At 48.5% G+C, this 23,704-nt stretch overlaps 7 annotated features.

The window, feature by feature from the left end:
* Nucleotides 1,512-2,012: an enhancer, noted in NCBI's record as "H3K4me1 hESC enhancer chr22:36512656-36513156 (GRCh37/hg19 assembly coordinates)". NCBI's record gives its function as "activates a minimal SCP1, AML or CMV promoter by ChIP-STARR-seq in primed H9 embryonic stem cells {active_cell/tissue: H9 hESC(primed)}" and the evidence as "EXISTENCE:reporter gene assay evidence [ECO:0000049][PMID:30033119]".
* Nucleotides 2,013-2,513: an enhancer, noted in NCBI's record as "H3K4me1 hESC enhancer chr22:36513157-36513657 (GRCh37/hg19 assembly coordinates)". NCBI's record gives its function as "activates a minimal SCP1, AML or CMV promoter by ChIP-STARR-seq in naive and primed H9 embryonic stem cells {active_cell/tissue: H9 hESC(naive and primed)}" and the evidence as "EXISTENCE:reporter gene assay evidence [ECO:0000049][PMID:30033119]".
* Nucleotides 8,905-9,199: an enhancer, noted in NCBI's record as "tiled region #8708; K562 Activating DNase unmatched - State 5:Enh". NCBI's record gives its function as "activates a minimal TATA promoter and a strong SV40 promoter by Sharpr-MPRA in K562 cells {active_cell/tissue: K562}" and the evidence as "EXISTENCE:reporter gene assay evidence [ECO:0000049][PMID:27701403]".
* Nucleotides 8,905-9,209: a biological region, named in NCBI's record as "Sharpr-MPRA regulatory region 8708".
* Nucleotides 9,140-9,209: a silencer, noted in NCBI's record as "silent region_13661". NCBI's record gives its function as "represses an Ori minimal core promoter by ATAC-STARR-seq in GM12878 lymphoblastoid cells {active_cell/tissue: GM12878}" and the evidence as "EXISTENCE:reporter gene assay evidence [ECO:0000049][PMID:35858748]".
* Nucleotides 16,880-17,380: an enhancer, noted in NCBI's record as "H3K4me1 hESC enhancer chr22:36528024-36528524 (GRCh37/hg19 assembly coordinates)". NCBI's record gives its function as "activates a minimal SCP1, AML or CMV promoter by ChIP-STARR-seq in naive H9 embryonic stem cells {active_cell/tissue: H9 hESC(naive)}" and the evidence as "EXISTENCE:reporter gene assay evidence [ECO:0000049][PMID:30033119]".
* Nucleotides 19,107-20,306: an enhancer, noted in NCBI's record as "MED14-independent group 3 enhancer chr22:36530251-36531450 (GRCh37/hg19 assembly coordinates)". NCBI's record gives its function as "activates an origin of replication core promoter dependent on BRD2, BRD4, P300/CBP and CDK7 cofactors, and independent of MED14, by STARR-seq in HCT116 cells {active_cell/tissue: HCT116}" and the evidence as "EXISTENCE:reporter gene assay evidence [ECO:0000049][PMID:35650434]".

Consider the following 23,704-nt stretch of genomic DNA (forward strand, 5'->3'; position numbering starts at 1 on the left):
TTGTGAGGCCTAGAGATGATGAGGCAAACAGTTGGTTCTCAATACAAGAAAGAAATTTATCATTTGCATGTAGCTGCATAGCTGATAAGCCCATGACAGTTTTCCCATAACCTGTTTTCATGGCCTTATTTTCCGCAACTCTGTCTATTTCAGCTACGTGGAACCACTCCTGTGTACTGTGACAGTCTAATGTTGGGATCTGGTTAAATATATTATGGCCCATCCAGGCGCGGTGGCTCACGCCTGTAACCCCAGCACTTTGAGAGGCCAAGACAGGCGAATCACCCTGAGGTCAGGAGTTCGAGACCAGCTTGGCCAAGATGGTGAAACCCCGTCTCTACTAAAAATACAAAAATTAGCTGAGTGTGGTGGTGCATGCCTGTAATCCCAGCTACTCGGGAGGCTGAGGCAGGAGAATTGCTTTGAAACCGGGAGGTGGAGGTTGCATTGAGCCAAGATTGCACCACTGCACTCCAACTTGGGCGACAGACAGAGAGAGACTCGGTCTCAAAAAAAAAAAAAAAAAAAGTTATGGCCCATCCACAGGATGCAATATCATATAGCCATTTAAAAGAATGGGCTACATCTGAACCAGATGGAAGAAAAGATGCCCGGATATGTTATTAATGGGATGAGGCAACGTGTAGAACCTGTGTAAAATAGGATTTTTTTTCTGAGATGGAGTCTTGCTCTGTCACCCAGGCTGGAGTGCATTGGTGCCATCTCTCCTCACTGCAACCTCTGCCTCCTGGGTTCAAGCGATTCTCCTGCCTCAGCCTCCCAAGTAGCTGGGATTATAGGAGCCCGCCACCACATCTGGCTAGTTTTTGTATTTTTAGTAGAGACGAGGTTTCACCATGTTGGCCAGGCTGGTCTTGAACTCCTGATCTCAGGTGATCCACCCACCTCGGCCTCCCAAAGTGCTGGGATTACAGGTGTGAGCCACCACGCCTGGCCAAGTAGGATGCTTTTATGCCATATTTAAAAGAATCCACAGGGAGCTGTTAATGCTGATACTTTTGGGGAAAGGGCTCAGTGGAGCAGCTAAGCTTTTGCTTTTCTTTTTGTTCCTTTCTGTGGAATTGGCATTGCCTACCAACACTGATTCAGTGTCATTCCACGGTGGCCCTGGGGCATGGTGTTTTTTTTCATGGATCAGCTCTGCCTGACACCACCATGCAGCAGGCTGTACTGTGAGCCTCATTTTGCAGGTGAGAGAAGCAAGGCACAGAGAGGTTACGTAACTTGCTTAAAGACATGTGACAAGTAAGAGGTGGAGCTGGGATTCAAACTCAGGCAGTGGAGGTCTGGAGTCCCTATTTTTAGCTACTACATGACACTGTCTCCCAATATATTATTTTTATCTATTTAAAAATTCAAAGCAGTTTTCTGTGTTATAGACTATTTTTTACTTCTTCACATGCTTAAAAACAAACAAACAAAAAAAAATAAAACAGAGGCCAGGCACGGTGGCTCACGCCTGTAATCCCAGCACTTTGGAAGGCCGAGGAAGGTGGATTACCTGAGGTCAGGAGTTCGAGACCAGCCTGGCCAACATGGTGAAACCCTGTCTTTACTAAAAATACAAAAAATAGCCAAGTGTGGTGGCATGCGCCTGTAGTCCCAGCTACTCGGGAGGCTGAAGCAGGAGAATCGCTTGAACCTGGGAGACAGAGTTTGCAGTGAGCTGAGATTGTGTCATTGTACTCCAGCCTGGGCGACAGAGAGACTTCATCTCAAAAAAACAAAACAAAACAAAACAAAACAAAAAAAAACAGGAACAATGCATAGCCCATGATGAATTGTTTTATTATCTGTGACTCTTATTGTTCATTGGTTGCTTCTGTCCCTCTCTGACCACAGCCTGATGGGAGGCACAGGCGAGGGAAGAACGTGGCTTTGGGAGCAGGGGGACCCTCATTCTCATCCCAGCTCTGCACGAACTGCGGCATGACCTTGGCCAGGCCCCTTCCCTTCCTTGGCCTCAGCCTCCATCTGTAGAGCTGGGCCAATGCCGGAGCCAATGACCTCTGCGGGCCCTCCTGCACAAGGATTCTCTCCCTCTTTCTGATCTATTTTTGCCTGACGCCTCTCCCAGGGGCCTGTGGGCCTGAGCTAATTTTCCTGGCTGGCCCCAGTCCAGGCAGCTCAGGTGGAGAGCGCCAAGCTAATGAGGCCAAGGTCATGGTCCAGTTAGCATCTCTCGGAGGAACCGTGGCTTTTCAGCCAGACTGTAGCTCCCTGACCAGTCACTGCGCTCAGGTAGAGGCGGGCCCTAGAGGAGAGGACAATAGCAAAGCTGGATCCTGCAAGTCAGCATTTCCAGTAGGAGCTGCTCAGGGCCCAGGGCCCAGATACCCTTTGTGACTGCAGGGCAGCATGTCCAGGCTCACATCAACATACCAGGATGATTCAAGGAGTGTGTACGTTGGGGGTTAGGGAGAGGACCAGGTGGATCACCAAGTGCCTGCAAGTACCCCCACACCTGTCAAGTCAGGAAGATGAGAACCAATTCTACCTTTAAATCTAAAGCAGATTGGGAGGCCGAGGCAGGAGGATCACCTGAGGTCAGGAGTTTGAGACCAGCGTGACCAACATGGTGAAACCCCATCTCTACTAAAAATATAAAAATTAGCCAGGCATGGTGGCGGGCGCCACCTCCCAGCTACTCAGGAGGCTGTGGCGTGAGAATCGCTTGAACCTGGGAGGCGAAGGTTGCATTGAGCCAAGATCATGCCATTGCACTCCAGCCTGGGGGATAGAGCGAGACTCTGTCTCAAAAAACAAAACAAAACAAAACAAACAATCTATATCTATATCTATATCTATCTATCTATCTATCTATCTATCTATCTATCTATCTATCTATATAAAGCAGACAGCATGTCCACATTCTCTCAAGGTGACCCCCTCTTTCTAACATCAGAACTTTCCTTTTTTCTACATGAGGCATTTCCACCACTTTTAAATCAGATGTAAGACAGAGTAAGCCTTCCTCTTTTACCTGCCACGAGGGCCAGGGGTTGTCTGTTCCTTCTCTACTACATCCCCGGCACCTAGACCCATGCCTGGCGTACCTACACTAGGAGCTCAGTCAATATTGTTGAGCGAATCAAATCACCACTGTTCCAGAATGAGGCTGCAGACTGCCTTTGAACGGACACAGTATTGCCAGTGGGTTTGACTCAGTTTTGTTCAAATATTTCAATTTCTTTTTTTGGTTTGTTTTTCTGAGGGAGTCTCACTCTGTTGCCCAGGCTGGCGTGCAGTAGCGTGATCTCGGTCGGCTCACTGCAACCTCCACCTCCTGGGTTCAGGCGATTCTCCTGCCTCAGCCTCCCAAGTAGCTGGGGCTACAAGCATGCGCCACCACACCTGGCTAATATTTTTGTATTTTTAGTAGATACAGGGTTTCACCATGTTGGTCAGGCTGGTCTCAAACTACTGACCTCAAATGATCCACCTGCCTCAGTCTCCGAAAGTGCTGGGATCACAGGCGTGAGTCACCGTGCCTGGCCTCAGATGCTTCTATTTCAACGAGTCTGGTGAAGCTTGTTATTTAGAGAGTAATATGTGAATGCTCTAGAAAAAGCAATTCTCCTGTCTCAGCCTCCCAAGTAGCTGGCACTACAGGTGCCCACCACCATGCCTGGTTAAGTTTTTGATTTTTACTAGAGACAAGGTTTTACCATGTTGGCCAGGCTGGTCTCGAACTCCTGACTTCAAGTGATCTACCCTCCTTGGCCTCCCAAAGTGCTGGGATTAGAGGAATGAGCCACCACACTTGGCCAAATTATTCCTTTTACAATCTGCTACAACCCCCTGATTTGAACATTTTGCAAATTTGAATGTTCTCATTAGGTTTTCGATTCAGTTCAGTGAATGTTTATTATTAAGTATTGTTATTATATTATTATTCATTATTGTTATTATTTAATAAGAATAATTGAGTTCTTACCATAAGCCAGACTTTGGGTTAAACACATAACATGTAGATTTAGTTAATTTTCATGACAAATCTATAAGATGGGCACTACTGCTATCCTACTTTACAGATGAGAAAACTGAGGCAGACAGAGGTTAAGTAAATTGCTCAACCCCACATGAATAGTAAGTTCTGGAGCCAGGAGTCAAACTTCAGAGCCTACACTCCTAATCACAGCTAATGTTGCTCTTCAGGACGTACTTTACATGCAAGTACAGTAACTGTCTACAAGGCACTGGTGATTAAAAAATGAACAAAGCCTTTAACAGGTGAATGGTTAAGCAGACTGTGGCACATCCACATCATGGAACACAATTCAGCAACAGCACGGAATGAACACTATTGATGCACACAGTAACCTGAATGACTCTCCAGAGAATTATGCCAACTGCGAAAAGGCAATCCGCAAGAGTTACGTACTCTATGATGCCATTTACTTATTTATTTTGAGACCTAGTCTCGCTCTGTCACCCAAGCTGGAGTGCAGTGGCATGATCTCGGCTCACTGTAACCTCCGCCTCCTGGGTGCAAGCGATTTTCCTGCCTCAGCTTTCCAAGTAGCTGGGACTACAGGCGTGCACCACCACGCCCAGCTAATTTTTGTATTTTTAGTAGAGACAGGGTTTTACCATGTTGGCCGGGCTGGTCTCGAACTTCTGACCTCAAATGATCCGCCCTCCTTGGCCTCCCAAAGTGCTGGGATTACAGGCGTGAGCCACCGTGCCTGGAAAATTATTTATTTTTAAGATTTGTTAAGTGTAGTCATGAGAAGCGGGAAAGAGTAGAACAAGGAGTTTTATCTGCTGTGACTGAACAATCAATTGAGATAACGCGGCACCTTCGGATCAGCTGATTCCATTTATCTAACATTCTTAAATGGACCCACTTATAGACATGAAGAATAGATTAGCAATTGCCAAGGCTAAAGTAGGGATCAGGGTGGGAGAGAAGTGGGTGAGGCTATAAAAGGACAACAAGAGGGATTCTTGTGGTGATAGAAATATTCTATATCTTGATTATATCAATGCCAATATCCTGGTTGTGATATTGAAGAGGCTAAAGCTGCATTTGGTACAATAAAATACAATTAGCAGCCTATAACCCCAAAGGAGAAAACTGGCCAGTTGTGTATTAAATCTTTGTGTGTTTGCATATGTGACATTTAAATGCTTAATTTATATGCCAACATTTAGCATTTTTCCAAGATGTTACTATTAACGGAAACTGAGTAAAGGGTACATGGGATCTCTCTGGATTACTTTGTACAAATGCAAATAAAAATGTTAATTTAAAAAAACAGAATGAGGCCAGGTACGGTGGTTCATGCCTGTAATCCCAGAGCTTTGGGAGACCAAGGTGGGAGGATCGATTGAGGCCAGGAGTTCAAGACCAGCCTGGCCAACCAGCAAGACCCCATCTCTACAAAAAATTAAAAAATTCAGCTGGGCATGGTGGCGTATGCCTGTAGTCCTAGCTACTGCAGAGGCTGAGGCAGGAAAATCACTTGAGACTGAGAGGTCGAGGCTGCAGTGAGCAATGATGGTGCCACTATACTCTAGCCTGGGCAACAGGGCAAGAGAATGAGGCAGACAGGAGCCCAGCCTGGCAGGAAAGGGAGGTTGTATTAGTCAGGGTTCTCCAGAGAGACAGAGCTAATAGGATAGATGTATATATGCAGGGGAGTTTATTAAGGAGTATTGACTCACACGAACACAAGGTGAAGTCCCACAACAGGCTGTTTTCAAGCTGATTAGCAAAGAAGCCAGCCAGAGTCTCAAAACCTCAAAAGTAGGGAAGCTGACAGCGCAGCTTTTAGTCTGTGGCCGGAGGCCTGAGAGCCCCTGGCAAACCACTGGTGTAAGTCCAAGAGTCCAAAAGCTGAAGAACTTGGAGTCTGATGTTCAAGGGCAGGAAGCATCCAGCACGGGAGAAAGACCATGGAAGGGAGTGAAGGCTGGAAGACTCAGCAAGTCTAGTCCTTCCAAGTTCTTCTGCCTGCTTAATTCTAGCCGTGTTGGCAGCTGATTAGATGGTGCCCACCCAGATTGAGGGTGCGTCTGCCTCTCCCAGGCCACTGATTCAAATGTTAATCTCCTTTGGCCACACCCTCACAGACACACCCAGGAACAATACTTTGCATCCTTCAATCCAATCAAGTTGACACTCAATATTAACTATCACAGAGGGCTTCCAATGCAGTGACAGTTGACATGAGTCCTCAAGGTTAGTTTGCAGGTCACAAGGGAGAGAAGGACAGGAGGCCTGAGGCAGGCAGGACAGCATGTGATAGTGGGCTGTTTGGGTCTTCCTTCCCCAAAGTCATCCTGGGATGGTGAGATCTCCGGCCATTCATTCCATTGCACAGAGGCATTCATGCAGGCTACCTCCCAACTTGTTCATAAAAATGTTAAGTGATGGACAAAATAATGTCTTTACATTTTTCTTAAACGTTTGGTTCCTGCTGCTGCTTATCTGGTAGAGAGGCTCATCAGAGGAGAAAATGAAGGAAGATTCCCTTGTCAAACATCACAACAGAGAGCAAGCATCTTTGTTCAGCCTGTCAGGATCATCTTTCACATTCAATTTAGAAAAATGGCAGATGTTAATGTTTTTCCTGTTAAGAGATAATTTCTTTTTAAAATGTTTGTTTTTTTTTTCCCCTTACTATGCCTAGTCCTGCTTTTTATATGATAACAGCCTAGGAGTGGAAAGAATGAGAGTTTGGGTGACAGAGATCCTTACATTTGAATCTCAATTCCACTTAGAGGCTATGGTCATGACTTAGAGGCTATATTAAGACCACTTAGAGGCTATGGTCATGACCTTGAGTCCGTTTCCCTGAGTTTCACTGCCTCAGACTAATCATACCGAATAGGCCAGTATTGCCAAATCCCAGTGCTAGGATGGGGATTAATGAGAAAACATTTGCCAAAAAACCTAGTATACCTTGTGTAATACCTGACACGTAGTAGGTGCTCAATAAGTGATACTCATTGATTTATTTTTTTATTTTATTTATTTTATTTTTTTGAGACCGAGTCTTACTCTGTCACCCAGGCTAGAGTGCAGAGGCGTGATTTCGACTTACTGCAACCTCTACCTCCTGGGTTCAAATGATTCTCCTGCCTGGGCCTCCCGAGTAGCTGGGATAACAGGCGTGTGCCACCACACCTGGCTAATTTTTATATTTTTAGTAAAGACAGGGTTTCACCATGTTGGCCAGGCTGGTCTTGAACTCCTGACCTCAGGTGATCCGCCTGCCTCAGCCTCCCAAAGTGCTGAGATTACAGTTGTGAGCCACCACGCCTGGTCAATAAGTGATACTCATTGTTAATAACAATTCTAGTTCATCTAAGGATTTAAAGCTGTGTACCTTTCATAGTGTTCTACAAACAGCTTCCTGATTTCCAGCAGCTTTGCTTATATCAGCCAGGATAGTCTAGGTTATGCTGCAGTAAAAAACAAGCCCCTAGGCTGGGCACGGTGGCTCACGCCTGTAATCCCAGCACTTTGGGAGGCCGAGGCGGGCGGATCACCTGAGGTCAGGAGTTTGAGACCAGCCTGACCAACGTGGTGAACCCCTGTCTCTATTAAAAATTCAAAATTAGCCGGGCATGGTGGTGCATGCCTGTAGTCCTAGCTAGTTGGGAGGCTGAGGCAGGAGAATCGCTTGAACCTGGGAGGTGGAGCTTGCAGTGAGCCAAGATCGCGCCATTGCACTCCAGCCTGGGCTACTAGAGCGAAACTCTGTCTCAAAAAACAAAACAAAACTAAACAAAACAAAAAAACAAACCAAACAAACAAACAAAAACCACCAAAAAGCAAGCCCCCGATCTCAGTGGTTCACAACAGCAAAGGCTACTTCTTGCTCACGCTACATGTCCATCATGGGGCAGGTGCCTCTCTGCTCCGGTTGTCTTCCCTCCTGGACTCAGTATCATGGAGCAACCACTTTCTGGAAGATTGCTGGTTGCCACAGTAGAGGAAAAGGGTCTTATATCAGCATTCATTGCTGTGGCTTAGAAATGACACATATTATTTCCATTCAAAACTCTTTTGTCCAGAACTGGTTACATATTCCCACCCAACCATAAGGAGACCAGGAAGAATAATCCCACTGTGCATCTGGAAAGGGGAAAAGCCAGACAAATGTGGCCAACAGCCCCAGTGACTACCACCACAGTGCTTTTGAAAACCACTGCCCAGAGCCAGAAGGATGGAGGATCAGCATGGCGGTAGGAGGAAGGGAGAAGCCAGAGGGGAATGAGGAGGAGCCGGGGTGCCTGGTATGGAGGGCCATCCATCCTTGGTCAATGTGCAGGGCTGGGGCCAGAGGAAGGCTGGGCGCCTTTCTCATCTGGACCCAGACCCAGACAGACCCCGGGGCCATTCCGTTCTGCAGGCAAACAAGCCAGTCCCGCTAGAATGTGGCAGTCACAGGCTTTCAACATGGAAGGTGGAGCTGCCTGGACGCTGTGTTTTTTTTCTGTTTGTTTTTTTGAGACGGAGTCTTGCTCTGTCACCCAGGCTGGAGTGCAGTGGCATGATCTGGGCTGATTGCGCCTCGGCAAAATCTCGGCTGACTTGCCTCCCGGGTTCAAGCGATTCTCCTGCTTCAGCCTCCCGAGTAGTTGAGATTACAGGCGCGCACCACCACGCCCGGCTAATTTCTGTATTTTTAGTACAGACGGGGTTTCATCATGTTGGCCACGCTGGTCCTGACCTCAAGCGATCCGCCCGCCCAGGCCTCCCAAAGTGCTGGGATTACAGGAATAAGCCACCGCGCCCGGCCAGACGCTGTGTTTTCCTGGCACTCCACTTCATGAGCAAAACTGTCACAGAGTAGTATTTCCCTGGCTCCACCCCTCCGGCGCTGCTGGATTCCTGAACCTATTCACTTCTTCTGAAGTGCTCTCAACTTGGCCTCCCTGGCTCCTTCCTGGTGCAGACATTTACTCTTCCTGCTCCGGCTTTGTGCCTCTGTAAAACTGCTGACGTCACCAGCAGCGGCTCCGACCGCCTGTCCTCCAAGGTCCCGGGCTGCGGCTGCGCAGCGCCGACAGCACGATGCGTGTGCCGACAGCGCCACCTCCTGGCTCTGCCGAGGCTGTTGGCAACACGCAGGGCTCGCAGTGCGCCCGCTTTTCTACTGCAGCCCTCAAAATTCAGCACGAGGCTTGGCTAGGGGAGCTTGAGTGGCTGACACTGTGGTCTGGTTAGTTTCCATTCTGACCCATGCTAGCCGTCTTTCAGATTCTAGAACTCAGTTCTTCTCCGGACCTCCCTCCCAGCCACAAGTCTTTGAATATGCGGCCTGCAGCTGGGCTCCCCTCATCCCCGCTCTTCTCCCCAACCTTCTTCATCATCCCTTGGCCGATCTTGAAGACTTAGCGGAGGCAGGGCGCAATGGCTTACGCCTGTAATCCCAGCACTTAGGGAGGCCGAGGCGGGAGCATCACTTGAGGTCAGGAGTTTGAGACCAGTCTGGCCAACATGGTGGAACTTTGTCTCTACTAAAAATACAAAAATTAGCTGGGCGTGGTGGCGGGCACCTGTACTCCCAGCTACTGGGGAGGTTGAGGTAGGAGAATCGCTTGTACCCGGGAGGCAGAGGTTGCTGTGAGCCAGGATTGAGCCACTGCACTCCAGCCTGGGCAACAGAGCGAGATCCTGTCTCAAAGGAAAAAAAAAGTCTTAGCTGAAACGTCACTTCCTCGACTCCTCAAATTTAGTCAAGCCCCCGTGCTATGAGATCTCTCCCCTTCTTGCTGGACGGGTTGGCAATGCTGGAGGATCTTGAAAGAGGAACACTCATGGGTCAAGAGCATTTCCTAACAGCGAACAGAGGTTTCAGAATCCTCATGAGCATCGGTGTCTCCTTGCTGGGACGCTGCTCACACACTTTGTGATCCTCAGAGGTGAGATGCAGGCCTATTAAACACGCTGGCCTTGGTGAGAAAGCCTCTGTGGGTTTCCTGTTTATCCCAATAAGCTGATTCAGGAAAGGAGACATCTCCTTCCTTCTCTGTTTGCCATGGAGGACTCACACCTTTCTTGTCCCCAGGACAGTGGACATCTGTTTGCCAATGCAGACCTCGTGCTCACTGGAGGCTGGAGAAGGCACGCTCAAGAAACGTTCAAGGCATGACAGCTACCCAGAAGGCCTCTAGTGCCCCAAGAGCTGCTCATCAGCCCCATTTTCTTCCTAATATTATTTAAAAATTTAAAGAAATTCAGTGAAAGTGTAAGCATACAGGCATAGGTAGTAGGTAAACTAGAATTCACTCTTGCTGGGGGAATACCACCCAGGGTTTGAAAAGATACAGAAGGCAAAAGAAACTGCATTTAGTATAATAAAATACAATTAGGCAGAGCACGGTGGCTCATGCCTGTAATTCCAGCACTTTGGGAGGCCGAGGAAGGCGGATTACCTGAGCTCTGGAGTTTGAGACCAGCCTGGGCAACATGGTGAAACCCCGTCTCTACAAACATACAACAATTAGTGAGTCTTGGTGGTACATGCCAGTCATCCCAGTTATTTGCTGGGCTGGGCTGGGATGGGAGGACTGTTTGGGCTCAGGAGGTCAAGGCTGCAATGAGCTGTGTTCACGCCACTGCACTCCAGCCTGGGTGACAAAGCAAGACCATGTCTAGAAAAAATAAAAAAATTAGCAGCCTATAATTCCAAAGCAGAAAACCAGCTGGCTGGCTATGCACTAAATCTGACCAGCCATTGTGTGTAAGGCGTGTGTGTGCAAATGTGTGTTTGCATGTATATCGTTTAAATAGTTACTTTATTTACCAACATTTACATTTAAGGAAATTTCACATCAAATAATCTATAATTCTAGAATCTTCTTAAACATGAGGTGGGCAACATGAGACCCCCACTTCTATCAGTATCCATCCTGACTGGACCCAAGTGGACAGCTTGAGTTTCCAGTTCAATCCAGTTCCTGCCTGGCCTCTGCTGGCCTCTGGGTTTGCAATCCCAACTCCCTACCACCGCCACTACTGCTGAGAGCATCCCCTCTACAGTACTCAGAACCTCACTGGCTGCCTGCAACCCTGGGGGATCAGCAGAAGAGACTCTAAGCCCATCTATCAGGTAAAAAACCTGAGGCCCAGAGAGGGAAAGTGACTTACCTAGGGACACACAGCTCTTAGTAAACAGAGTGGAGGCCAACTCCACTCCAACTCAGTCTCATTCCCACTCTGAGATTTAAGAAAAAAAAATGTGATTTTAAAAATCCCAAAGTTGTTTCCTTCCTCCCTCCCTCCCTCCCTTCCTCCCTCTCCCTCCTTTCCTTCCTCCCTCTCCCTCCTTTCCTTCCTTCCTCTCCCTCCTTTCCTCCCTTCCTCTCCCTCCTTTCCTCCCTTCCTCTCCCTCCTTTCATTCCTTCCTCTCCCTCCTTTTCTTCCTTCCTCTCCCTCCTTTTCTTCCTTCCTCTCCCTCCTTTTCTTCCTTCCTCTCCCTCCTTTTCTTCCTTCCTCTCCCTCCTTTTCTTCCTTCCTCTCCCTCCTTTTCTTCCTTCCTCTCCCTCCTTTTCTTCCTTCCTCTCCCTCCTTTCCTCCCTTCCTCTCCCTCCTTTTCTTCCTTCCTCTCCCTCCTTTTCTTCCTTCCTCTCCCTCCTTTCCTTCCTTCCTCTCCCTCCTTTCCTTCCTTCCTCTCCCTCCTTTCCTTCCTTCCTTCCTCCCTCCCTCCCTCCCTCTCTCCCTCCATTCCCCTTCCTTCCCTCCCTCCCTTGCCCTCCCTCCCTCCCTTCTTTCCTTCCTTCCTTTGTTTCTTCCTTCCTTCTTCCCTTCCTCCCTCTCTCTCCTTCCTTCCTCTCTTTCTCTCTCTCTCTCTCTCTTTCTTTTTCCCCCTCTCTCTCTTTCTTTCTTTCTTTTGACAGGGTCTCAGTCCTCACTCTGTCACCAAGGCTAGAGAACAGCAGTGTGATCATGGCTCACTGTAGCTTCTACCTCCTCGGGTTGAAGGGAGCCTCCCACCTCAGCTTCCCCAGTAGCTGGAACCACAGTCACGAGCCACAATGCCTGGCTAATTTTTTGTATTTTTTGTAGAGATGGGGTTTCACGTTGTTGCCCAGGCTGGTCTCAAACTCCTGGGCTCAAGCAGTCCTCTTGCCTTGGCCTCCGGAAGTGCTGGGATTACAGCCATGAGCCACCGCGCCCGGCCAATCGCAAAGTTTCTAAAGTAGGAAATGGGATTCTATTCCATCCCCAACTAATTGTCCCCAACCACTGGTAGCAGCCTGGCTTGTCTCTGCTTCGACAAACACAGAGGTCTAAGCTCACACTCTCAAAGTTACACTCACATGTCTACAGTTTGGCTTTCTCTCTTTTACTTTTTTTAAAATTTATTTTCTATTTGTTTTCCCCATGACATAGCTCCAGGAGATCCTGAGAACATGTCCCCTACAGTTTGGCTTTTAATCTTATGATTGCAAAGCTGGGATCATGCTGCAAACACCACTCTGCAACGTATCCTTCCCACCAACCCAGCGCCCACACAACCCCCTCAGTGTGGGCCATCTTTCCCTTTCAGGACACACAGCACAGTCCCTTTCTTCCCTCATCACCTCACAGGCCTGAACAGAGGGCCAGAGAGGTGGAGTCCTGCAATTTACCTGCTCAGTCTCCCATCACAGGACCCTGGACAAGTCACTCCTCTCTCAGAGCCTCAGTTTCCCTGCAGGAAAGAGGAGGTGCTCAGAGACAAGGTGGATGAAACAATTTCTGGGCTTCTTGTATCTCAAAAGAAATCCTCTTCCTGTGGCCGGGCGCGGTGGCTCTTGCCTTTAATCCCAGCACTTTGGGAGGCTGAGGCAGGCGGATCACCTGAGGTCAGGAGATCCCCGTCAGGAGATCCATGACCATCATGGAGAAACCCCGTCTCTACTAAAAATACAAAATTAGCTGGGCATGGTGGTGCATGCCTGTAATCCCAGCTACTCAGGAGGCTGAGGCAGGAGAATCGCTTGAACCTGGCAAGCGGAGGTTGTGGTGAGCCGAGATCGCGCCATTGCACTCCAGCCTAGGCAACAAGAGCAAAACTCTGTCTCAAAAAAAAAAAAAAAAATCCTCTTCCCCTGTCAGGCCTTAGTAGCAGCATCCTAGGGGTAGCCTAGACGGGGGCAGATTCCTGGGGGTGGTTCTAACCCACATCACATTAATGATGCCACCCAAGTCCATTCCCATGGCACCAGGTCACTGGGACAAAGGGCCAGGTCTCCAGTCTTCCATGTCTGACCTCTACCTCCTTTGCTTCCTCCAAAGTGCCCAGAGAAATGCACGTGGCCCACGGCTGCTGCCTTCTGAGGTCACCTGGCCATACCCCAAGTAGTCTGGGAACCCATGCTGAGCCTGGAGAATCTTCACTCTCCCACCTCTCCCTCCATTCCTCAGGGGAACAAGGACTCCAAAAGAGCCGTCGGATAAACCTGGGTTTGGATCCAGGCTTTCTACCTTGGACAAGTTACCTAAACCTCCTGCATCTCGGTTTCTTCTTCGTCAAATGGGGACAATACTTCTTTCTTTAAAGGCTTTACTTTGAGGATGAGGTGAGAGGGAAGCCATCCTCCTCCGTACCCCACAAGGATCACAGGCCAGTGAGATCCAGCTATTATCACCTCTGGTGATGCTGGTCGCCAACAACCCAAGGACCCCTGTTACTGAGCTCTAACCAGACCCTCCCTCTAGTATCCAACACATACTCTCAAGGGAAACAGAAATCACACAGAAGAGGCCAGGCAGGCGCAGTGGCTCACGCCTGTAATCTTAGCATTTTGGGAGGCAGAGGCGGGTGGATCACCTGAGGTCAGGAGTTTGAGACCAGCCTGGCCAACATGGTGAAACCCTGTCTCTACTAAAAGCACAAAATTAGCCGGGCGTGGTGGCACACACTTGTAATCCCAGCTACTCAGGAGGCTGAGGCAGGAGAATCGCTTGAACCCGGGAGGCAAAGGTTGCAGTGAGCCAAGATCGTGCCACTGCACTCAAGCCTGGGCAACAAGAGCGAAACTCTGTCTCAAAAAAAAAAAAAAAAGAAAGAAATCACATAGAGGAAATAAATTGGCTGGTTCTATTCTCAACCTCAGCTCCGCTGCTCCACTGGCTAACTCAGAGGACAGCCCGAGTCCAGCCATGACCCACTGTCCAGCCTCCTTTCCTGCAGGGAACCAGCTTGGGTTTCCAGGACGACACACTGGCCCGAAGTCTTACTCCCAGTCGCCACTGCACTCCTGCCTGGGCAACAACAGTGAAACTCCATCTCAAAAAAAAAAAAAAAAAAAAGAATGATACAACGGACTCTGGGAACTCACGGGGAAGGTTGGAAAGGCCAGGTATGCGGGATGGTATTGGCAAGGACACATATAGAGACACAGAGAAGGAGCATCGTAGGGGGTATGGGGAAGCTATGCACATTTCAAAGTATTAGTAGAGCACAAGGAAGAGGCTGGGACAGGGGGAGGATGAACTTGGAGAAGCCATGACTGGAAGCCTGTGTCCCATGGCATTGTCATCTGTGTGTGTGCCCCATCTTGACTTTGAGCTCCACACAGGACAGGACTCTGACTCATCTTTGTTATAGATCTCAGTGAGTGCAAGGCACGAAGAAGAAGGGGTGTCAATGAGTGCTTCATAAATGAATGATTGGATGAATGAATGAATCATCTGTTTCTCCACTTCCATTCTGTGGTCTCCGGCCAACATTCCCTCCCATTTACCTCTCATTAAACTCTTTTTGCAGCAGCACTTTCTCTTAGTTCTTCCTGTCATTTGCTAGACTTCAGCTTTGTGATCTTTGGGTCAGACACCATGATGAGAGATGCAGATCGCAACTGAGCGTCATTTAAATATTCAGAAGAGCTGAGGCTCCGCAGGCTGAATTCTGAATATGCAGATAATTCAGAAAACACTGGAGCAATAGACTTGTTGAATTCAAACTCGAGGTGGAGCAGACGAGGGTACAGCTCGGCTTAGGTGACCCATCGTCCCCATCAGCTGCTCCTTCCCAAAGCTACGGCTCCCTCGGCCTTTGAGCTTTCAAGCCTCAGCCTCGTGTGTTGCTTCAGTGGCAGCTGGAACATTCCTCCCTGCAGCCTGCTCCTCAGACGCTTATCTCACCCCATAGGGCCCTGCTCCATCTCAGTCTTGGATGGGGTTAGCAGTGTTTTCTGGATCAAAGTAGCTTCTTTCCTTGTGCTGTATTTAAACTTTGTGGCGTAGGCATCAGTTTCCCTAATGCCTCTGTTATCCATCTTGCAGGTCTACAGTATTGAGAGACAGAAAGTCAAGAAGTTCTGGACCTGCCAGGAATTCCCACTGTGGAAACAAATCCACCCTCCTTACTTCCTGGAGAGGGGCAATTCCTTCAGGAAGGTCTTCCATGAGCCTTACATCAGACTTTGTCCTGAACTCCACCCACAGCTCCCCTGTCTGAGCGTGTCCCATTTTCTCTGGACCTCTTTCATCTCCAGTCCCAGACCAGCATCCTCCTGCATGTGCTTCTGAAAGTACAGGCCACTCCTGCATCCCTTCTATACCTGGGTCGCCAGGAAACTCACGGATCCACTTTTGACGCAGTCTGTTCTGCTCTCCCTTCTCAAATCTGCCCAGATCTCAGCTGTCCCCCATGGTCCTTATCAAACTCCCATCTACAGCCTCTAGAAAGTGACTTCTGATCATTTCCTCTATCGTGGCCCTGAATGGCAGTCACATGTACCCTTCATCTGTTTGGCTCTTGCCCCCTGCCAGACCCAGCAGCAATTCCATGCCCCTGTCTTTCTGGATCTCAGCTCGAGAGGAGTTTGAGGTGCGTGGCTTGATTTTCGCCCATCATTCTGTCCTGTCTGGCTTGCATGCCTTACCTTTTCTTCACAGGAAATCCCATCATTCAATCCACATGTTGCTTTTCCATGTACCAATATTAGATTTTCCTAGTGATTCTTTTCTGATAGTAAGTCCCAAATCTGTCTTTTAGCCAATCTTATCCCTCCCTGATCCTCTGAGAAACCAGACTCCTAGATACGGACCTTTCAAATGCTTCTTTGCTTCTGGGCTTTTAATAATCCCCCTGAGATTATTCACCAGCTAAAGGATGGTGGGGACAGAACAGCACTTGACTGATAAAGGCCCCCATCCTCCTGGTCTGTCACTCTCACATCCCACCGTTCCCTGGGGTACCCCCTGGAGGCCAGCACACGACCTCTCCAGATCCCTGTTGACACCACTTGTTGGGGAAAGGCAGCTCGAGCATCCCATGGACATCCGTCTGAAAGGTTGGCCCCAATCTGGTTCCTTCCTTGATGGAGGACGACATTAAAAGAAGACAAAGGAGAGAATTTGGGGTGACTGATCTATTGCTGCTTAGGCCAAGTCTAACCATTGAAAGTCTCCAAATCTCACACCTAAGGGTCCCTAGCTCTTGTAGAACACCACAGAGATTTTCCAGTTCAAGGTTTTGGTCTATCACACGATGGGAGAAAGCTGGCAAGAAGAAAACAAGCTGTGGGAATCAACAATTGTTTTACTCACCAAAGATTAGGAAGCCTGAATAACAACATCACCTCTTTTGAGTACAGCCTCACATAGAACTGAACTGAATAGAAATCATCTCATTTTACAATCATCAGACATCTGTCTTTGCCCCAGTCCTGGCTGCTGCACCCTCACTACGAGCCCTGGATTGCCACGTCGTCCCTTGGTTCCCAAATCCTAGCCCGTGGATATACATTTCTTATCCTAAGAGTCACCCTACTATGTGAGGGTTCTGGGAGCAGCTTTGTTCCTGGGAATCTGCAGGCACCTTCCTGCCTTCCTGCTGTGGTCGCCAGGCACAAGGAAAGAAAGAAGGGTCTCGCTTATTACAGTAGGGAAAACATGCGATGAATTCTCTTCTAACCCTGGTGCAGAAATTCTCCTAATGAGTCCTGGGGTGAAACGCAGGCCTGGAAGCGAGGTGAGGCTCCTCCCCACCAGCATCTAAAAAGCCGGCTCCCTGGAGCCACAGGATTTTTCCAATCAGCCATGGGACCAGGGCAGCCCACCAGCCTCCCCAGCTGCCAGACGCTGGTAGAGAGACCTGAGACAGAGGGCAGGTGAATGGAGCGGGAGAGGAGGAGAGAAGGGACACCAGATGGGGTCTGAGGAAGAAAGAAGGAAGAAAAAAAGATACCTTGATGGGGAAGGGGAAAGCCTTAATCTGCTTCTCAATCGCGAAGTAGGTCTGCTTCTCAATCATGCAGTAGGGAGTGAAAAGCACAGGTGGGGCTTTTGAGGCTCAGGCACTCCACCCACCAGGACAATGCGGACCCCATGACTGCAGAGCCTAGGCTCTGCAGGGAGCAGCTAGGGAGACACTAGTAAGGGAGGTGGGCAGGGGGCAGAGGCCCCTTTCCCCCACTGCTCCCACGGGGATGAGGAGGGGGCTTCCGAAAAGGCCCAGGTTAGGGGGCCTGCCTGCTCAGCTCACATCCCCCTGGTGTGACAGTGCCTTCTTTACTCTGTCCTCTAGCCCCCGGGACCCATCTGAGTCTCTCCCCTGGAAATTGGAGGACCTGAAAGAAAACCCTTGGAGGCAGCAGGCAGTGGAGCTGAGGCCTTGAGTGTAGCTCGTTCCCTACCGCTGAGAGCCCTGAGGCTTTCTGGGTCCCTGGTCTTCCCTAAGCCTGTTTTTAAAAAATGTGCACGCACGCCCACCCACCCAAGGATTTCTTTAATTCTGTGAGCTTTCTCTCTGGATCATTCAAATATATGCCTCCACTCTTGAGGTAGCGGGAAGATTTTTTAAGATTTTTCATTTGTTTTTGTTTTTGCATTTGCTTTTGTCTTGGTTTTGCTTTGCTATGTTCTACTTGCATCCAAAGGGTCCTACCTAATAGAAAAATTGGCACCAAAGGGTTGGTTGCAGACCACAAAGCCTCAGGATAATTGGTACAGGTAGAATCATGTTTTGTGTTGAGAGGTGGACAGAGCAATAGTGAACCCTTCTCACCCCCCTCATTCTGGGGAGCACCTGCTCTCAGCTTGTGGAAAGGGGACAAGGAATGCTGGGACATGAAGCAGGACCACTCACTTTGGACAAAGGCCTTTGACATTTCTCCTGAAGGCGTCCAATAAATTGTGGCTGTTGATATTTTTGGCTGACTCTCCTATGAAAAACAAATTCAGAAACCGTTTCTATAGGTTTCTGGTTACATGATGAATTTCATCCTCACTAGATCTTCTAAGCGCACATGAGGGCCCTGATGGGGACAGAGTGGTGTGCTAGTACCTCTCCTGCTGTAACAAAGCCCTACAGACACAGTGACTTGAACCAACACAAAGTTGTTCTCTTCCAGTAGAGTTCTAAAATCAAGGCATGGGTAGAGCTGCATTCCTTGGGGAGGCTCTGGGAGAAGCAATTCCCTTACCTTTTCCAGCTTTTAGAGGCACCTGCTGTCCTCAGCTCCTGGCTTCTCCCTTCGTCTTCAAGCCAGCCTTGTAGCATCCTCTGATCTCTCTCAGTTTCTCTCCCCTTCTATCATCTCATCTCCTTTTCTCCCTCTCACCCTACTGTCTCCGCCTTATAAGGACCCTTGTGGATACCTTGGGCCCACCCAGATAATCGCAGATAACCTCTCATCTCCAGATCCTTGACTGGATCACACCTGTGAGGTCCCTTTTATGATGGAAGGTGACATAATCACAAGTCCTATGATTAGGACACCCACATCTGTCAGGGGCTGTTATTTAGCCTAACACAAGATGTATTCAGAAAATTGCAATAGGGATACCTGAGGGGAATTGAAGGATCCCAACTCCAAGCCGCATCTAAGGATGCTTCCGAGGTGCAGCTCCCGCTGGAGGACTCTGCTCCATCTCTCTTCCTGTCTGCCGCTGCCTGCCTCTCTGTTTCTAGACAGCCAGTGTTCAAGTCAGTATGGCCTTGAGAGTGAACTGCAGAATGGAAAGGAGTGAGATGCTGCAGCAGGAGAAAGAGCTCGCTGTCAAAGCTCCGAAGAGCTGAAGACCATTTATTTGCATGGTGGGGTCTGACGGAGGTCGGCAAGGAAGAGGAATCATCATTTGGTTTCCTTGCCATGGTCATCCTCAGCTGGCACGGTTTGCTCCAGCAGCAGGCTGGGATTCCAGCTGTGCCCAGTGTTAGCCATGCCACCCTCAACTAAATGCTGATCACTTCTTTGTGACATAAAAAGCCAGAAATTAGTTGGCATGATGAAGAAGAAGGAGGACTCAAAGTGTGTAGGAGGCTGAAATGCTAGATTTGATTTCTCAAGCACTTCCTGCCCACGCTGTTTCCTGCCAGGGCCCAAAAGATTTCCCGCTCCTTTAACGAGAAGAGTCAATGGATAACCAGGAACTCTCTATAATAGGGGAGGGGCTGGGACTCTGGTCTCTTTAGGGTGGGAGAAATTCCAAGAGGCCGACTGTAGGGGAGGCAGGTAACTGCCAGAAGAAAAGAGAGTGCGGGCGCCAGGTCACGCACCAGGAGGGCGCATGATCATGGCTCAAGGGACATTTGATAGGAACAAGGTTCCAAAATAGAGCTGGAAGACAGTCCACTGACTTTACAAAACCCCCAATCTGGTGAGTGGATACCTGTCACAGGTCATCAGGCTGGATAGTCCCTGCTTGTCACCCAATTCTTAGGCCTGGGTCAGAGGGGGAGATTATAGGGCACAAGTAATTAGTGAATATCTATATTCGTTTACCTTTGATTAAGTCCATCAGGGTCCCACCCTCACCTGGTCATCATTTTTCAAATTCCTGGGTGGATAACTGGAAAGAATACTCTTGGAAGCTTCAGATTGTTCACCCAGACCCACGGACGGGGACTATTTCAGTGACATACGCCAGTGGAGGCCATTGGTTTTACATACCTGCCTAAATATTTTACTCAAAGTCAACACCAACTTCATGGAGGAGTTACAGAGGCAGTTACAGAGATTTCTGCCATCATCAAGATTTAAAGGGAGCAGAAGCAGTGATTCCTGTGACTCACCTGTTCACCTCTCCAGTGTGGCCAGTCGTCAACAGGGAAACAACTGTTTGTTTTCCAACCGCAGAACAAAGTAGGAAGCTCATCAATGGAAGTTGCCATTCCTAAGTTGTTCTTGTTAATGAAGCAAATAAACACAGCCTGCAGCTCTCAGTCTGTATCAATCAGGCTTCTTGGTCGAGCAGAGGTACCAACTCTGTTTTCTTAGGGCAGAAAACAACATGAAATTCACTGGAATGATACCAGAAGAACCCCACGTGTGTAGGAGGCTGGAAATTGGCTTGGAAGATAAATAGAAGCCAAGACAGTGAGACGGTATCGAAGGCTGCGAGCACAAGAGCCCTGCTTTGTGAGGAGTGACACGGCCACAGCGCTGCCCCGCCACCTGCGGACGTCATCTCTGCTGGTGCAGGACTCGGTCGTCCCCGTCTCTATTCCCCTCCCGGGCAGTCCTGCTGCTCTCACTGAGAATGGATTCTAAGCACCCTGGGCTTTGCCTCACTTGCTCCAGATTCAGGATCCCATGTGGAAGCAGCCAATTAGCCAGCCTAGGTCTTGTCCAGAAGCCCTGGATGCCAGGGTGGGGGTGGACAGAGAGTCATCTATTCTCTTGGGCATTACATAGAAGGTGGGACCAGTCTTTCTCTATGACTCCACATGCTGGGAAACCCCACAAAACTAGGAAGAGGCGAATAGATGCCAATCAGCTCCCTCCCAGGAAACTGGGAGTTCATTCCACCCAGAGGCCTAAAATGTTGACATGCCGTCTTTGAGTGTAGAGGGAAGGAAGCTAACTCCAATTCGCAAAATGACTAAATAGAGATAAATGACTGACAGCTCAGAAAAGACCATGAGGGCTGAATTCAGGTGCTTACACAGAGTCATGAGTACTCAGCATCTCTCAAATTGTGCTGTGCTTTCCGCCTGGCCCACCTGCTCCCCCCAGGTCTGGCCTGCTGTGGAACGCCTCTCAAGGACGGTTCCTGAAGAGCAATGGAGCACACCTCACAGTCCAGGCTGCCTGGAAGGAGCTGCATCCTCGGACCAGGATCTGCATTGTTTCCTGGGTAACAACTAAGGAATTAGCTGGAATTTCAACATTTTAGAAGGAATAAATCTGGAGGCTTGGTGACAAAGATTTTTAGGGAAGAGGAACATACATAGAGCTTTCAGAACAACGGTAGAACTAAAAAAAAATCTGTCCCATGTGAATGCTCATTGGAAGATGTCCACCATCAAAAAAGACTCTTTTTTTTTTTTTTTTGAGACTGGGTCTCACTGTATCGCCCAGGCTGGAGTGCAGTGGTGCAATCTCGGCTCACTGCAACCTCTGCCTCCCAGGTTCAAGCAATTCTCGTGCCTCAGCCTCCAAAGTAGCTGGGATTACAGGCACCCGTCACCATGTCTGGTGGCTAGTTTTTGTATTTCTAGTAGAAATAGGGTTTCACCATGTTGACCAGGCTGGTCTCCAACTCCTGACTTCAACTGATCCACTCGCCTTGGTCTCCCAATGTGCTGGGATTACAGGCGTGAGTCACCATGCCTGGCTCAGAGGCTGTTAATAAACAAGGGAAGAAGTCACTCTTTAAGGCTCAAATCTCCTCTGTTCCCCAGGCAGCCTGACATTTTCAGAATGGGCTCATTAACCAACTTGCCTAATGTGGAGCTCTATGTAACCACACAACACGGACCCCACTCATCAAGGCTGACCACTTGGCACCCAGTGAATCTCAACCCCGGAAATGACAGCCTTAGGTCCCATGGAAATGGCCCAAAGGGGACTCAGCTCCATATCAGAGGCTGGGAGCTGCCCTTAGGATGTGATATGTTTTGAATCCATACCCAGAATTTTCCCCATTTCCTGTAATAGCCAGAATTCATGGAGCTGGGCAGTCAGAGGTTAAGATGAGGGTGATAGCTCTATGGTTACCCACAATAAACCACTTTCAAAAATTTTGTTTATGATACATACTCCTAACTCACAGACTTTTAGGTCTGGAAGTTTCAGTATCTAAGGTTGACAAAAGTTGTTTCAGCAGAAACCATAGCTGGCTTCTCATGCTCCCTGATGTAGGGATAGCAATGACGTCACTGGGTTGGATATAATCATGCATCATGTTCCTCCAGGGAAGCTCATGTTGTTATTACACAGCAGGACAGGAGGAATTGAGGGATCCCCTAGGATTGCTCCTTGTAATACTCTAAAGTGTTAGAGTATTAGTGTAAATGTGAATAGGAAATTTCACCAACTTACTGAGGCCAGACCATCAAGGAGCTTAGACACCACGAGAATGACTTTGCCCATAAGTAAGAGGAACATTGAGTGGAACAATTCAAGACTTCTGATGGTGGCAGCAATGGTCAGTAGTGGCTGTAGCCTTGACCGTACCTCTTTATTTTCTACAAATATACACACACAAAAATTCTGAGACAGAAGCTGCCAATGGACCAAAAGAAAAATTGATCGTGTGCTGAGGCCCTCCTCCTGTGACATAACTTCAGCATGCAGAAGGTGGAGATGCTGTGTGTGGCTCTCACTGGGGAAGAGGCAAGTGCATTTGCCTTTTTCCTTGGGATGGCTGGGTTCATAGCAGATAAGGAGAGTTCTTTTTGTTTGTATGAGAAGAAGAGTGTGTGTGCAGTAGCAAGCGATTGACTGTATACAATGAGCACAAATTCAGGTGGCTGTTTGGCCAGAGGCTTCCCATTAGGGTTTGTGTCTCTGTTACCCATCCCCATTCCTGATACCATAGCCTCACTGATTAGTTCAAGAAGAGTCACTAACCCAAGCTATTCTGTCTACTGAGTATGTGAAACTTTAATCAGAGACACTAGGAATCAAAGTGTGTGGAGCTAAGCCAGGTGCAGGCAGAGCCCTGAAAGGGCAAACCATATATTCCTGATGTTGGTAATGGTCTGCTCCTGTCCTTCCAAATTCTGTAGATTTTGTTCTTCCTTCCATCCTCTGACCTGCTCTAGTTTTCATCCAATGAATCTTCTATTTTGTTTAAGACAGATAGTTTCTGTTTCTGTTGCTTGCAATTGAAAAATTTTTAAACAATACTAGCAGTACAGTGGAATTGCATCAAATGCAGGTAGCCTGATGGCATTTCAACTCTAAGTGTCAGGGCAAATGCTGGCTGGATCACTGAAGAAGTAAATTACTCAGTGCCAGAAACATTCAAAGCTTAAGTGAAATGTATGAAAAGAATGGGAATTATCCAGGAATTGATGAACAATTGACAGACAAATGAAACACAATGTTCTGGCGTTAGGCAAGTCGGTGGCCGTTGCTCTGTTGACTTCTTCAGGAAGAAATAGATGAATCAACTGAAGGTCAGGGAAGCCTTGGCTGATGGAGAGTTACAGGGACTGAGGCAAGTGTTCTGCAGGATGCTACATAAAAAAGGACTAAGTAGGCCCTGGGTGCACTTTACGAGTGACTTAGGAGAGGTTCTGGGGTGATTTTGTGCATTCTGTATCTCTTGCCCCTGCTCTGGGCTCCAGCTGAGGCGCCCAGCAGTTCTATATTCTATGCATGGAAATACAGATAATTAATGTCCACTGGGGCAAGGCCATGGGGGACAGGAGCAGTGGTTACAGGCCTCCCTCTCTCCTCCCTGTAGAGGAACATTCTGAAGACGCTCCTTGAAGACTCCTCAGGAGGTCTCCAGTCGCCCACATGGGTGACCCTATCAAGAATTTCTCCCGGC

The sequence above is a fragment of the Homo sapiens genome, chromosome 22 (genome assembly GCF_000001405.40).
Source record: "Homo sapiens chromosome 22, GRCh38.p14 Primary Assembly".
NCBI lineage: Eukaryota > Metazoa > Chordata > Mammalia > Primates > Hominidae > Homo > Homo sapiens.